General features: G+C 42.7%; 1 protein-coding gene and 1 long non-coding RNA gene across 3 annotated transcripts in view; one reads left to right on the top strand and one right to left on the bottom strand.

Moving 5' to 3' along the window:
* The window catches only part of RBPJ (recombination signal binding protein for immunoglobulin kappa J region), a 329683-nt gene that overhangs the window by 147097 nt on the left and 168892 nt on the right, over positions 1 to 13694 (bottom strand). The window lies entirely within an intron of this gene.
* Positions 12610 to 13694, top strand: part of LOC124900690 (uncharacterized) — a 77297-nt gene continuing 76212 nt past the window's right edge. Inside the window, exon 1 of the long non-coding RNA XR_007058094.1 lies at positions 12610 to 12875. This is a non-coding gene — a long non-coding RNA (uncharacterized LOC124900690). The remainder of the gene's footprint in view (positions 12876 to 13694) is intronic.

The raw sequence follows: 13694 nt of genomic DNA, 5'->3' as shown, positions 1-13694 counted from the left end.
ATCATTGAAGGATATTCAAGTACTCAAATATCTTAGGATCATTGAGTGGGAAATCACCTCAGAGTCATGTGCAGTTTCCTCATTTTGCAGATGCAAATGCAGAGAAGCAGAGAGAGTTCAATGAGATGCTCAAAGACATTTAAATAAATGACAAAATTAGGCCTAGACCCTTCCCTGGTCTTCTTCTATTGGAGTTCTTCTTTCTCCTTCTTTCTCTTTCCCTCCCTCCCTCCCTTCCTTCCTTCCATCTTGCCTGCCTGCCTGCGTTCTTCTGTCCTGCCTTCCTGCCTTCCTCCCTCCCTTTCTCGTTTTCTTCTTTCTTTCTCTTTCTTTTCTTCCCTCCTTTCCTTCCTTTCCTTTCTTTTCTTTTCTTCTCTTTTCTTCTCTTCTCTGCTCCTCCCCTCCCCTCCCCTCCCCTCCCCTCCCCTCCCCTCCCCTCCCCTCTCCTCTCCTGTCCTTTCCTTTCCTTTCCTTTCCTTTCCGAGGCAAGGTCTCACTTTGTCAGCCAAGCTGGACTGCAGCAGCATGATTACAACTTACTGTAGCCTCCATCTCCCTGACTCAAGCGATCTTCCCACTCGAGCCTTCTGAGTAACTGGGACTACAGGAGCATGCCACCATGTCTGGCTAATTGTTATTATATTTTTTACTTTTTTTGCTAGAGATGGGGTCTCGCTATGCTGCCCAGGCTGGTCTCAAACTCCTGGCTTCAAGTGATTCTCTTACCTTGGCCTCTTAAAGTGCTGGGATTACAGGCACGAACCACTGTGCCCAATCTTTTCTCTCTTTCTTCTTTTTCCAATGACCTAAAATACTCCTTTATTTTTGAGCACAGATCTCAGAACAGTGACATGGTTTAAAATCAATACTCTCTTTTTACCGTAGCATGCTAGCTCTTTCCTTTGTCTTTTTCACCTGAAAATGTGCCAACCTAAAGCTTTTAGTTTAGGCCAGGTGCGGCGGCTCACGCCTGTAATCCCAGCACTTTGGGAGGCCGAGGTGGGCGGATCACCTGAGGTGAGGAGTTCGAGACCAGCCTGGACAACATGGAGAAACCCCGTCTATATGAAAAATACAAAAATTAGCCAGGCGTGGTGGTGCATCCCCGTGATCCCAGCTACTTGGGAAGCTGAAGCAGGAGAATGGCTTGAACCCAGGAGGCGGAGGCTGCAGTGAACAGAGATAGTGGCCACTGCACTCCAGCCTGGGTGACGGAGGGAGGCTCCGACCAAAAAAAAAAAAAAAAGAGGTTTTACTTTACAACATCATTTTACAAAAGAAAGGGTGCCCCTCAGATAAAGAAATTGCACATAATTAATATATATTGACATGAACACCTGCTGTTTGTAAGATGCTGTATGGAATCAAAAAATTTAAGCCTAAATTCTGGTCCTGAAGTTCCCCCAATCTGGTAAGAATGGGATGTTCTATGTGCAGTCAGAACAATGAATTATAGGATATTGAAGGACAGAGAGATCACATGTGAGATTCAAAGCTTTAAGCCAAGAGCTTAAAGTACATGAATTATTTTGTTTGTCTCTTTTTTTTTTTTTTTTTTTTTTGAGGCAGGGTCTCGGTTTTTCATACAGGCTGGAGTGCAGTGGTGCGACCACAGCTCACGAGAGCCTTGATTTCTTTGGCTCATGTGATCCTTCAGCCTCCTAAGTAGCTGGGACCACAGGTGCTCACCACCACGCATCTGGCTAATTTTTTATTTTTAAAGAGACCTGGTCTCACTGTGTTGCCCTGGCTGCTCTCAAACTCCTGGGCTCAAGCGATCCTTCCGCTTTGGCCACCAAAAATGTTGGGATTACAGGCGCTAGTCATCATGCCCAGCCCACAGTACATGTTCTATAATTACTGTCCCACGTGATATTTAAAGCCAGTCTTCCAAATTAATATGGTAGGATGAAAACATGTTTTAAAGATTTTTAGCCTAAGCTTTCACTCTGCCGCCCAGACTGGAGTGCAGCGGCACGATCATAGCGCACTGCAGCCTTGAATTCCTGGGCTCAAGCAAGTGTACTGAGCAGCTAGGACTACAGGCATACGCCACTAAGCCCGGCTAATTTTTAAAAATAATTTTTTGTAGCGATGGGGTCTCCCTATGTTGCCCAGGCTGGTCTGGACTAAAATTTTGAATACTCTCTCAGTGGGTAATTTCACTCATATATCCAACAATTTGCTGTTAGTCTTTGGGTATACACATAGTAATTTATATTCAGACAGGGATGGCTCGAGAATTTCTGCATAAGATTGAATTAAAAGGATTGCATTCTGGTTGGAAGATGCTTCAGGAAACTTGTCTGGAATGCATTTGATAATGTGCCACTTTTTTTTTTTTTTTTTTTTTTTTAACGTATCAGTATCATTAAGCAGGTAACATGCCATTTTTACATAAGGGTTTTGGTGTGAGGTGTAGAGTTGATGGCAGTCACTATTGATACCAATGTTTTGTCTCCCTTCTCTCACATTCTATTTTTTTCAAACTGTAATATTCATTTATTAAAATTTTGAGGCAGAGAGATCTTGGAGGAGACTCTTTGAAATGACAGTAGGGGTTTTACCAGCACCGGATGTAGATAGTTGTTCTTATACTAGAGGTGGCAGGAATGAAATGGGGTAGAGATAATATGCGTTTATTGTTTGAAGCGGCTGTGTTTTGGGGTAACTTGTTATGCCCTAATAGATAACTGAATGGAGGTGGCAGATGCTACTAGTTCCATAACACTGGGGCCCAGTTATCACCATGGTAAGTGGCGGGGGTGGGGGCGGAGGGGTGGAAGTTTAGAATATTTATCTGAGACTGGGCCTGCTATACAGAAATGCCTTTCCGGAGTCTGGACACTGAGATATATGTTTGAATAAAAAGTTAAGTTTGGCCGGGTGTGGTGGCTCACACCTGTAATCCCAGCACTTTGGGAGGCCGAGGTGGGCGGATCACAAGGTCAGGAGTTCGAGATCAGCCTGGCCAATATGGTGAAACCTCATCTCTACTAAAAATACAAAAATTAACCAGGCGTGGTGGTGGGCACCTGTAGTCCCAGCTACTCAGGAGGCTGAGGCAGGAAAATCACTTGAACCCGGGAGGTGGAGGTTGCAGTGAGCTGAGATTGTGCCACTGCACTCCAGCCTGGGTGACAGAGTAAGACTTCATTTCAAAAGAAAAAAAAAAAGTTAAGTTTAACCTGTTCTGGGGATGGAGGACACACAACAGACTGGTTGTTGTTGTTTTTAATCTCAAACAAAAGACTTTAAAAAGAGTTCAGCCGGGGGCACAGTGACTCACACCTGTAATCACCGCACTTTGGGAGGCTGAGGTGGACGAATTTGAGGTCAGGAGTTGGAGACCAGCCTGGCCGACATGGCGAAGCCCCATCTCCACCAAAAATAGAAAAATTAGCCAGGCGTGGTGGCACATGCCTGTGATCCCAGCTACTCGAGAGACTGAGGTAGGAGAATCGCTTGAATCCAGGAGGTGGAGGTTGCAGTGAGCTGAGATCACGCCACAGCACTCCAGCCTTAGTGACAGAGCGAGACTCAGTCTCAAAAAATAAAATAAAATAAAAATTAAAATAGAGTTCATATGGACCAGAAAAGATGCTTTGCAGACACACTCAACTTGGTAATGTCAGTTTCTTACCAATAATAATTGCAAAACCAAAATTGTTTTCACTAAGTATGAAGTTGGAGGCTGAAGAATCTCAATTATGGGAGAGTTAGTAAGTGGAAGACAACCTTTAAAAATGCAACAAAGAAGCTGTTAAGGAAATACATTAGAGCATGTTCAGATGAAATAGGGTGTAAAGTCAGCAGTCCTGTATTTCCTAGCCTTTATTCTCTTCACAGCTTATTTCTCACTTTTAGATTTTGTAGTCAGGCAGTATAACATATAACAATAAGATAAATACTATTAAGAAGAATTTTGCAACTTGAGAGGTGCTTTCAATAACCACTACCATATTTAATCGTGTATTTTGGATATTGTAAGAAAATGGAAACTTGGGGGTTATTGACCTACCCAATAGCATTTGCCTCCAGCTTAAATCTTTTGGACACCTTCCAAACCATAAAAATCATTGTATTAAATAGGCCAGGCGTGGTGGCTCATGCCTGTAATCCCAGCACTTTGGGAGGCTGAGGCGGATGGATCACGAGGTCAAAAGATCGAGACCATCCTGGCCAACATTGTGAAACTCTGTCTCTACTAAAAGTACGAAATTAGCTAGGCATGGTGACACATGCCTGTAGTCCTAGCTACTCGGGAGGCTGAGGCAGGAGAATCGCTTGAACCTGGGAGGTGGAGGTTGCAGTGAGCTGAGATCATGCTATGGCACTCCAGCCTGTGCGACAGAGCAAGACACCGTCTCAAAAAAAAAAAAAAAGTTTAGTTAAATGTATTCAGCAGGAAAGAAGAGAAAATCAGTAGCCTCAGGCCCCTTTTGCTTTAGAAAATCCTATATCTTTATTTTATTTTATTTTATTTTTTTGAGACAGAGTCTCCTTCTATAGCCCAGGCTGGAGTGCAGGTGCGCCATCTCGGCTCACTTCAACCTCCGCCTCCCGGGTTCAAGTGATTCTTCTGCCTCAGCCTCCAGAGCAGCTAGGATTACAGGCACTTGCCACCACTACCAGCTAATTTTTGTAGTCTTAGTAGAGACGGGGTTTGGCCATCTTGGCCAGGCTGGCCTTGAACTCCTGACCTCAGGTGATCCACCCACCTCGGCCTCCCAAAGTGCTGGGATTACAGGCGTGAGCCACTGCGCCTGGCCCAGAAAATCCTATATCTTTAATTTAAAAATAAGAGGCCGGGAGCGGTGGCTCCTGCCTGTAATCCCAGCACTTTGGGAGGCCGAGGCGGGTGGATTACGAGGTCAGGAGATCGACACCATCCTGGCTAACACGGTGAAACCCTGTCTCTACTAAAAATAAAAAAATTAGCTGGGCGTGGTGGCAGGTGCCTGTAATCCCAGCTACTTGGGAGGCTGAGGCAGGAGAATGGTGTGAACCCGGGAGGAGGAGCTTGCAGTGAGCCGAGATTGTGCCACTGCACTCCAGCCTGGGTGACAAAACGAGACTCCATCCCAAAAAAAAAAAAAAAAAAAAAAAAGAATCTACACTTAAAACACAAAGGGACAGTATTTTCCTGGACTCAACTCTGTATTTCCTTTTATTATTATATAATATAAAGCTATTATGAAATACATGAAGCTCCGCCAGGTGTGGTGGCTCATGCCTGTAATCCCAGCACTTTGGGAGGCCAAGGTGGGTGGATCACCTGAGGTCAGGAGTAACAGACAAGCCTGGCCAACATGGAGAAACCTCGTCTGTATTGAAAATACAAAAATTAGCCAGGAGTGGTGGCATGCGCCTGTAATCTCAGTTACTCAGGAGGCTGAGGCAGGAGAATTGCTTGAACCCGGGAGGTAGAGGTTGCAGTGAGCAGAGATCGCGCCATTGCACTTCAGCCTGGGCAACAACAGTGAAACTCCATCTCAAAAAAAACAAAAAGAAAAAAAAAAGAAATACATGAAGCTCATTTGATTTGTTGTAATTTAAATTTCTTAGATCTTTATTCGAATATGAAATGTGTCATTCAACTGTTATGTGGGTGCACCAGTTTATTTTTTATCAGATAATTTTGTTTTTTAATTTTCATGTTCCCATATTTAATGCTAAACTGGAAATTAAGATTCAAGAATAGTCTCATAATAGCATGCGGATTTTGACATGGTGTTGGCACTTTATCCCAGAAAAAAAATAAATGCACCAGAAATGGACATTTTTTTTTCAAGGATTTATTTTGCTTGGTGACATGATCCTACTATCAATAGCAAAATTCCTTTTTAGATGATTCACAGGCAAGATTTACATTAGCAAAAAAAAAAAAAAAAAAAAGAGAGAGAGAGAGGATTACGAATGAAGGCAATTATTTACATTTTGTAGAATCCCTTGAGAAACTGACTCTCTTCCTAGATAAACACATACATACACAAATACACATAAAGTTTGCATGAAAATCTGTCAGGGGAAGTTGCCCCTGGTCTAGATAATTTGGAAAGAATGAAGCACTTTATTTGAGAGAGCTCTATAATTCAAATAGAATAGGAGTGTTATATTAGAACAAAGGAGTTTTAAGAAATAACTTTGTAAGACTAAAACTAAGAACTGTTAAATTAGCGTAACTCTTCTGTCCAGACATCTTCAAGGAATTAGAACTCCAGTGGCTGTGATTATTTACGTGTAGCTCATTGTAAATGGGGGAAAGGCTTGCTGGACAATTCCACCTTTTTGCTTTGCCTACTCTGAAGATTAATACACAGCTTGCTTTGCTTATATTATTTTTTTCATTGGCTACTAAAAGTGACTGCAAAGAATACACATCTTTTCAAACACCAAACATTTTATAATTACAATAATAAGTCAGAGAGAATTTTAAAGGTCGTATCTTAGAGTGGTGGGCATGGTGGCTCATGCCTATAATCCCAGCACTTTGGGAGGCTGAGGCGAGTGGATCGCCTGAGGTCAAGAGTTCGAGACCAGCCTGGCCAACATAGTGAAACCCCATGTCTACTAAAAATACAAAAAATTAGCTGGGTGTGGTGGTGGGTGCCTGTAATCCCAGCTACTAGGGAGGCTGAGGCAGGAGAATTGCTTGAACCCAGGAGGTGGAGGTTGCAGTGAGCCGAGTTTACGCCATTGCACTCCAGCCTGGGCAACAAGAGCGAAACTCCGCCTCAAAAAAACAAACAAACAAACAAAAAAACTGCAGAGGGATTCTCAAACAGTATCCTAAAATACAACAAATTTAAATAAGATTTTTAGATACTACCCATTAAGCCTGCGGAACTGTGAGTCAATTAAACCTCCTTTCTTCATAAAAATAAATAAAAAATGAGTAAAATGAGATTTTTAGTATAAATTGTTTTTATATGGTAAAATTAAGACAACTCCTTATAATGTCATTCAAACAGGCTGTTTTTGTTTAACACAAATGTTTACAAATTGAACCCAATGGAAAACAGTTAGAGCCTCATCATCTGATTTGTTTCTGTATTTCGTTTTGGTTACTCAATATATAAGAAAATTCTTATTTGGATAGAAATATAGTTGCAAATGGTAGCAGTTTTTAAAGAGTTACCTTTCAATTTCAAAATATTCTTCAAGTAAACAAACATGAAAAAAAAAGTTTTATCCAGAAGTCTGCATAAACTGGATAGCACATGGGAAGTCTCCAATTTATTAAAATGTAGTACATTTTAATGCAGCTGTATTTGCTTTAAATTTTTTTTATGTTGTGGTAAAATATTTATAACATAAAATTTGCCATTTTAACCATGCTTCAGTGTACAATTCAAGGGCATTAAGTGCATTCACAAGGTGCAACCATCACTCTTGTCTATTTCCAGAACTTTTTCATTATTCCAAGCCATTTGCTTTTAATAATAAATTTGTAAATAGTTAAAATTGAAATTTGAATAAAATGTTTGCAAAGCTCCTAAGGCATTTTCATAGAACAGTTTAAAAAGTATGGTCTCCTTAAGTTATCTGAGGCACAGAAAATTAACTGGCTGGAACAAGCACCATTGTCCAGGGATGGAATGGGGCTCTCTCTCTCTTTTTTTTTTTTTTTTTTTTTGAGATGAAGTGTTGCTCTGTCACCCAGGCTGGAGTGCAATGTTGTCATCTCGGCTCACTGCAACCTCTGCCTCCTGGGTTAAAGCAATTCTCCCGCCTCAGCCTCCTGAGTAGCTGGGATTACAGGCACCTGCCACCATACCTGACTAATTTTCTGTATTTTTAGTAGAGTTGGGGTTTCGCCGTGTTAGCCAGGCTGGTCTGCAACTCCTGACCTCAAGTGATCCATCCACCTCGGCCTCCCAAAGTGCAGGGATTACAGGAGTGAGCTACCGTGCCCGGCCAAGGCTCTCTCTTAAAAGACAATTTTGGTCGGGCACGGTGGCTCATGCCTGTAATCCCAGCACTTTGGGAGGCCAAAGTGGGTGGATTTCTTAAGATCAGGAGTTGCAGATCAGCCTGGGCAATGTGGCAAAACCTGTCTCTGCAAAAATTACAAAAATTAGCCAGTTGTCATGGTATGCACCTGTGGTCCCAGCTACTTGGGAGGCTGAGATGGGAGGATTGGTTGAGCCCAAGAAGTCGAGGCTGCAGTGAGCCTTGTTCGAGACACTGCACTCCAGCCTGGGCGACAAAACAAGACCTTGTTTCAAAAAAAAAAAAAAAAAAAAGACAATTTCAACTTCACTCACAAAAACCTTTTTACCTCCCTCTGCCTGAAATGAGAAGTTTTAATTGTGGCATGCAAAAACCTGCCATCTTCTTAGGAAGTTTTACTGAAATTCGTCACCGCTTGTCTGGACTGGTCTTAGAATCATCCTACATTAAAAGCAAATGTAAGCAACCACGGGAATTTGTGTAAACATTGAAAATATCAAACAGGCCGGGCGTGGTGGCTCACGCCTTTAATCCCAACGCTTTGGGAGGCCGAGGCGGGTGGATCACGAGGTCAAGAGATTGAGACCATCGTGGCCAACATGATGAAAGCCCGTCTCTAAAAATACAAAAATTAGCTGGGCGTGGTGGGGCACGCTTGTAGTCCCAACTACTCGGGGGGCTGAGACAGGAGAATTGCTTGAACCTGGGAGGCGGAGGTTGCAGTGAGCTGAGATTGTGCCACTGCACTCCAGCGTGGTGACAGAGCAAGACTCTGTCTCCAAAAAAAAGAAAATATCAAACAGCAGCCAGTGCAGCAAAACTTGCCCTTTTCTATAAGTGGCTAGGCTCACAGCATCATCCTCTCTTCTGCCCAACTGGATTGAATTTACTGGTATTCATTTGAAACTACCACCTGTAACAGACATTTTCTTCAAACAAATAGTTAACATTTATTGAGTACATACTGTGGGCCAGGCACTGTGCTGGGTGCTTCATGTGTATTATCTTATTTAGTTCTCAACATGATCCTATGAAATAGCTACTGTTATTTTCTCCACTTTAGAAAGGAGGAAATTGTGCAGAGAAAGCTAAGATCATACAGGAGCACAACCACCCTGCTCCCACGGCAGCACCCTTAGCCACCAGGCACTGTGGCCTCCTTAGAACCTTATATATCCATCCCATAGCCAAACTTCCTGATGCCTGCCAGATATCATGTAAGTGGAACTCCCACCAAAAGCTATTTTTAAAACGGACTAATCATTGTTACTTCAAATCTGCTAGAAACTGACAAGAGTTGAGCTTAATTTTCTCCTTGTAAAGCCCCTGTCAGGAAAATTATAAAGACTTGTAAAGGGGCAAAAGAGATTTTTGAGTGTTATTTCAGTAGAGTCCCTGAGTGTCTTAGGAGATAGTCTGGGAATTATCTGCTTCTATAGGAATAGAAACTTTTGATTATCTTGGATTGATTAGTCTATTTCATAATCCTATAGGTGTAGAAGTTAAGTTGTAGAAAACCGATAGCAATGCAGATGTGTCCTGTCCATAGTTATTCAAATGATTCTTGTTTTGAATATGCACATCAATTTTATCTGATAGTAATGCAATTGATTTCTACCCAGTAAATGACCCAAAACACTACATATTTTTTCTATCAGATATCAGCCAATTTTGTACCTATTAGTAAATTCATTGCAACATTCCAGATTGCCTACATATATATCTGTTTTTCAAATTGTCCTTTGAATTGGTTTTAACATTTTTTCTGGATCCCTCATAAATTAATAAATTAAAATCTTTGGCATAGGTTCACTTTATATCTTCATGACAGACGTGACTTTACTTTTTTGAAAATGTTATGTAGCATCCTATCTTTAGATGAAAAATTGAAGATGAATATGAAGTATATGTTATAAAGTAACTGGGAAGCAAAGGCAGCACAGAGAAGGTAAAGGAGCAGAATCAGCGAAGAGTTCCTAATCAGAATGTCAATGCCACGGCATTTGCGTTCATACTACTATATACTGTCCTTGGCACATAATAGGTGCTCAATAAATATTCAGCAAAGGAGCTAGCTTAGAAGGCAAGACACACACACAAACACACACATATACATGAGGAATAAGCAGCAACTTGGAAAAAAGGCATTGATTGACACATGTGAAAATAACTTGTAAAGATTAGATGGACACTGAATCGAATATTTTAAAGCCCGATAGAAACCTATGGGAGAGAGTAATACATTTAAAAACACTAATCATGCTTGCAAAATTCTTCCTCTGGACTTTTGGGGCTAGAGAGGGTCAGGAGAGCATTTCTCTCATGAAAAAATTTGAGCCCATATGAGCATACTAAGTCTCTCCCTCTGACTAACACTTGCCATCTGTTCCTCCATCACTGCCATCTTAGTTTTAAATCCTGCAAAGGAAATGAATAGGCCCCTGCCACTCCTTCGAGATTGTGTGTCCAACACACCATCCACTCACAAATCAGGGCTTTCCTGGGCACCTATAGCTTGGCCGGGTTGGCACTTTCCCTACAAAACTCCCCAGGATAACTCACCAAGGCCATGCATTGAAGAACCCAGCCCTGTGGCGCTCAGGCTTGCAGCCTCGTCCTGGTCCCAAGAGAAGAGAGAGGCTTGTATCTGGTGGGGGTGAGGAGCCAGGTGGAGATTCCTAAATCATAAACTAAGGAATTCCACAAATGCTGAATTTTTCATGAGTGCTAGCATTACAGAGAGGGATCAGAACCAAATTTTTTCAAGTTCAGCTTTTTTGACTTTTGACTTTTTTTTTTTTTTTGAACAAACAGGGTCTTGCTCTGTCGCCCAGGCTGAAATGCAGTGGTGTGATCACAGCTCACTGAAGCCTTGAACTCGTGGGCTCAAGCATCTTCCTGCTTCAGCCTTCTAAGTCTTCATACCAGCATGCCTGGCTAATTTAAATTTTTTTTTTTTTTTTTAGAAATGGGGTCTCACTATGTTGCCCAGGCTGGTCCCCACTCCTGGCCTCAAGCAATCCTCCCACCTCAGCTTCAAAAAGCTCTGGGATTATAGGCGAGCGTGATTCTCCTGCACCCAGCCAGGTTTTTCACTTACAGAAAATTCTATGACTAGTTTATTCCGTGCCAGCAAAGAGAATATCATCTAGCCAGAATAAATACATAAATACATTTAAATCTGATTTCACAGGTTGAAGAAGAAAGGCAGTTTTTGACTCCGCCCTTGCTACAAAGGAAACAGACAGAAAGAAGAATTTCTTCAAAGATACAATTTGAGTTTGCTTATTTAAGGTTGCTTTCTTAACATAGTATGTGCTCAGTTAATATCAGACAGTCACTCCTGTAGCTCTAATGTCATGGTGAAGAAAAGAGAAGGATTTTTTTTCTTTCTCATTTAAATGATTCAAAGTGTTATACATATAGCATTTAATCAGCAAGCCCATGGAAACAGAAGAGTAATCAACAGGGACAGAATTTCACTGTGTTGACAGCAATGGAAGAACAAGCCTGAGGCCCAAGGCCATGTTAGATTTTCCATAGATTGCATTTCAATAGATTTCTGTGGATTGTGTTTTTTTCAAGGAGGCGATTTCATTGGGACATGTAGCATGCAACGTCACAACCACCAAGCCTTGCCCAAGCAAAAACCCAGATCTCATCTAACATCCACAATTTCTGAAGCTTTGTTTTAGTTACCATAGGGAAGTGTTTTTAAAATCAGAGACCTTAAAAGTAGAAACTTAAAATTTACAACAGCTTTATGTATTTATTTTATGTTTTCTTTTTCTTTTTTTTTTTTTTTTGAGATGGAGTCTTGCTCTGTCACCCAAGCTGGATTGCATGCACAATCTTGGCCCACTGCAGCCTCCGCCTCCTGGGTTCAAGTGATTCTCCTGCCTCAGCCTCCCAAGTAGCTGGGACTACAGGCATGTGCCACCATGCTCGGCTAATTTTTGTATTTTTAGTAGAGATGCGGTTTCACCATGTTGGCCAGGCTGGTCTCAAACTCCTGACCTGAAGTGATCCACCCACCTAGGCCTCCCAAAGTGCTGGGATTACAGGCGTGAGCCACCACGCCCAGCCTACAATAGCTTTAAAGCTGTTAGCATGTCACTAAGTATCCTTTTTCAGCCATAAAAACTATGATTTGGGCCGGTTGCGGTGGCTCACGCCTGTAATCCCAGCACTTTGGGAGGCCGAGGTGGGCAGAGAGGTCAAGAGATCCAGACCATCCCGGCCAAGATGGTGAAACCCCGTCTCTACTAAAAATACAAAAAAGTAGCTGGGTGTGGTGGTGCACGCCTGTAGTCCCAGCTACTCGCAAGGCTGAGGCAGGAAAATCGCTTGAACCCAAGAGGCGGAGGTTGCAGTGAGCCGAGATCGCGCTACTGCACTCCAGCCTGGCAACAGTACGAGACTCCGTCTCAAAAAACAAAACAAAACAAAACAAAACAAAAAACCTATGATTTGGAGAGAAGTTGACAGTTGTGTTATGTCAAGATACCTCTTTCCTGGATGGTTTTTCTCCGGCGACTGACTTGACATGTTGCTTAGCCACACCCGAGTCACATAGTCCCCCTGGGTTTTAATTTCTTTTTCCGGTGTTAGTAATACTTGTTCCCTTCCTGCCCCACTGGCCTGTTGGGAGGCATAAGTAGACTCATAGCATGCTAGGTCCTCCCTTTTCATTATCTTCCTAGGAAAACAGTTACCCATAGGAGCCCAGAACCTTGCCTAGAGTCACCCTGCCAGCAAGTGGCAGAGCTGCGATTTGAATCTGGGGCTTATGCATCTGATTCTGCTGAGGATGTCAAATTACCAGGCTTTGGTCTAAGCAGAAGTCAGGGGACAGCAGTGAAAAGAGCACGGTTCCACACCTTGATGCCGTCTCTCACTTTCCCTCTGTGTGACCTTGGGTAAGTTATGCAAATGCTCTGTGCCTCAGTTGCTTCATTTATGAAATAGGGACGATGACATCTCACTAGTCTATTACAAATATTAGTTGACAATGTGGCCATCTCCCTATCCCATGAATGCTATCTTCCTTTATGGCTTCTAATCCCTTCCTCTAGCCCTGGTACTTTAGAAACTTTTTTCCTTTCCTTTCTTTTTTCTTTTCTTTTCTTTTTTTGTTTTTTTGAGACGGTGTCTCGCTCTGTCACCCAGGCTAGGATCATGCAATGGCGTGATCTCAGCTCACTGCAACCTCCGCCTCCTGGGTTCAAGCAATTCTCCTGCTTTAGCCTTCCGAATAGCTGGGATCACAAATGTGCACCACCACCCCTGGCTAATTTTTGTGTTTTCGATAGACGAGGTTTTGCCATGTTGAGCAGGCTGGTCTTGAACTCCTGGTCTCATGTGATCCACCAGCCTCAGCCTCCCGAAGAGCTGGGATTACAGGTGTGAGCCACTGTGCCCAGCCTTCTTCTTCTTTTTTTTTGAGAGACAGGGTCTCGCTCGCTCTATCACCCAGGCTGGAATGCGGTGGCATGACCACAGCTCACTGCCACCTCAAACTTCTGGGCTCAAGGGATCCTCCCATTCAGCCTCCTGAGTAGCTGAGAACATAGGCACATGCCACTGTGCCAGGCTAATTTTTAAAAAAATTTATGTAGAGACAGGGTTTTGCCGTGTTGCCCATGCTGGTCTTGAACTCCTGGGATCACGCAGTCCTCCTGCCTCAGCCTCTTGGACTGCTGTGATTACAAGGGTGAGCCACCGTGTCTGGCCAGAAA

Source organism: Homo sapiens, chromosome 4 (genome assembly GCF_000001405.40).
Source record: "Homo sapiens chromosome 4, GRCh38.p14 Primary Assembly".
In the NCBI taxonomy this organism is placed as follows: Eukaryota; Metazoa; Chordata; class Mammalia; order Primates; family Hominidae; genus Homo; species Homo sapiens.
This window is presented reverse-complemented; position numbering and strand designations above follow the sequence as displayed.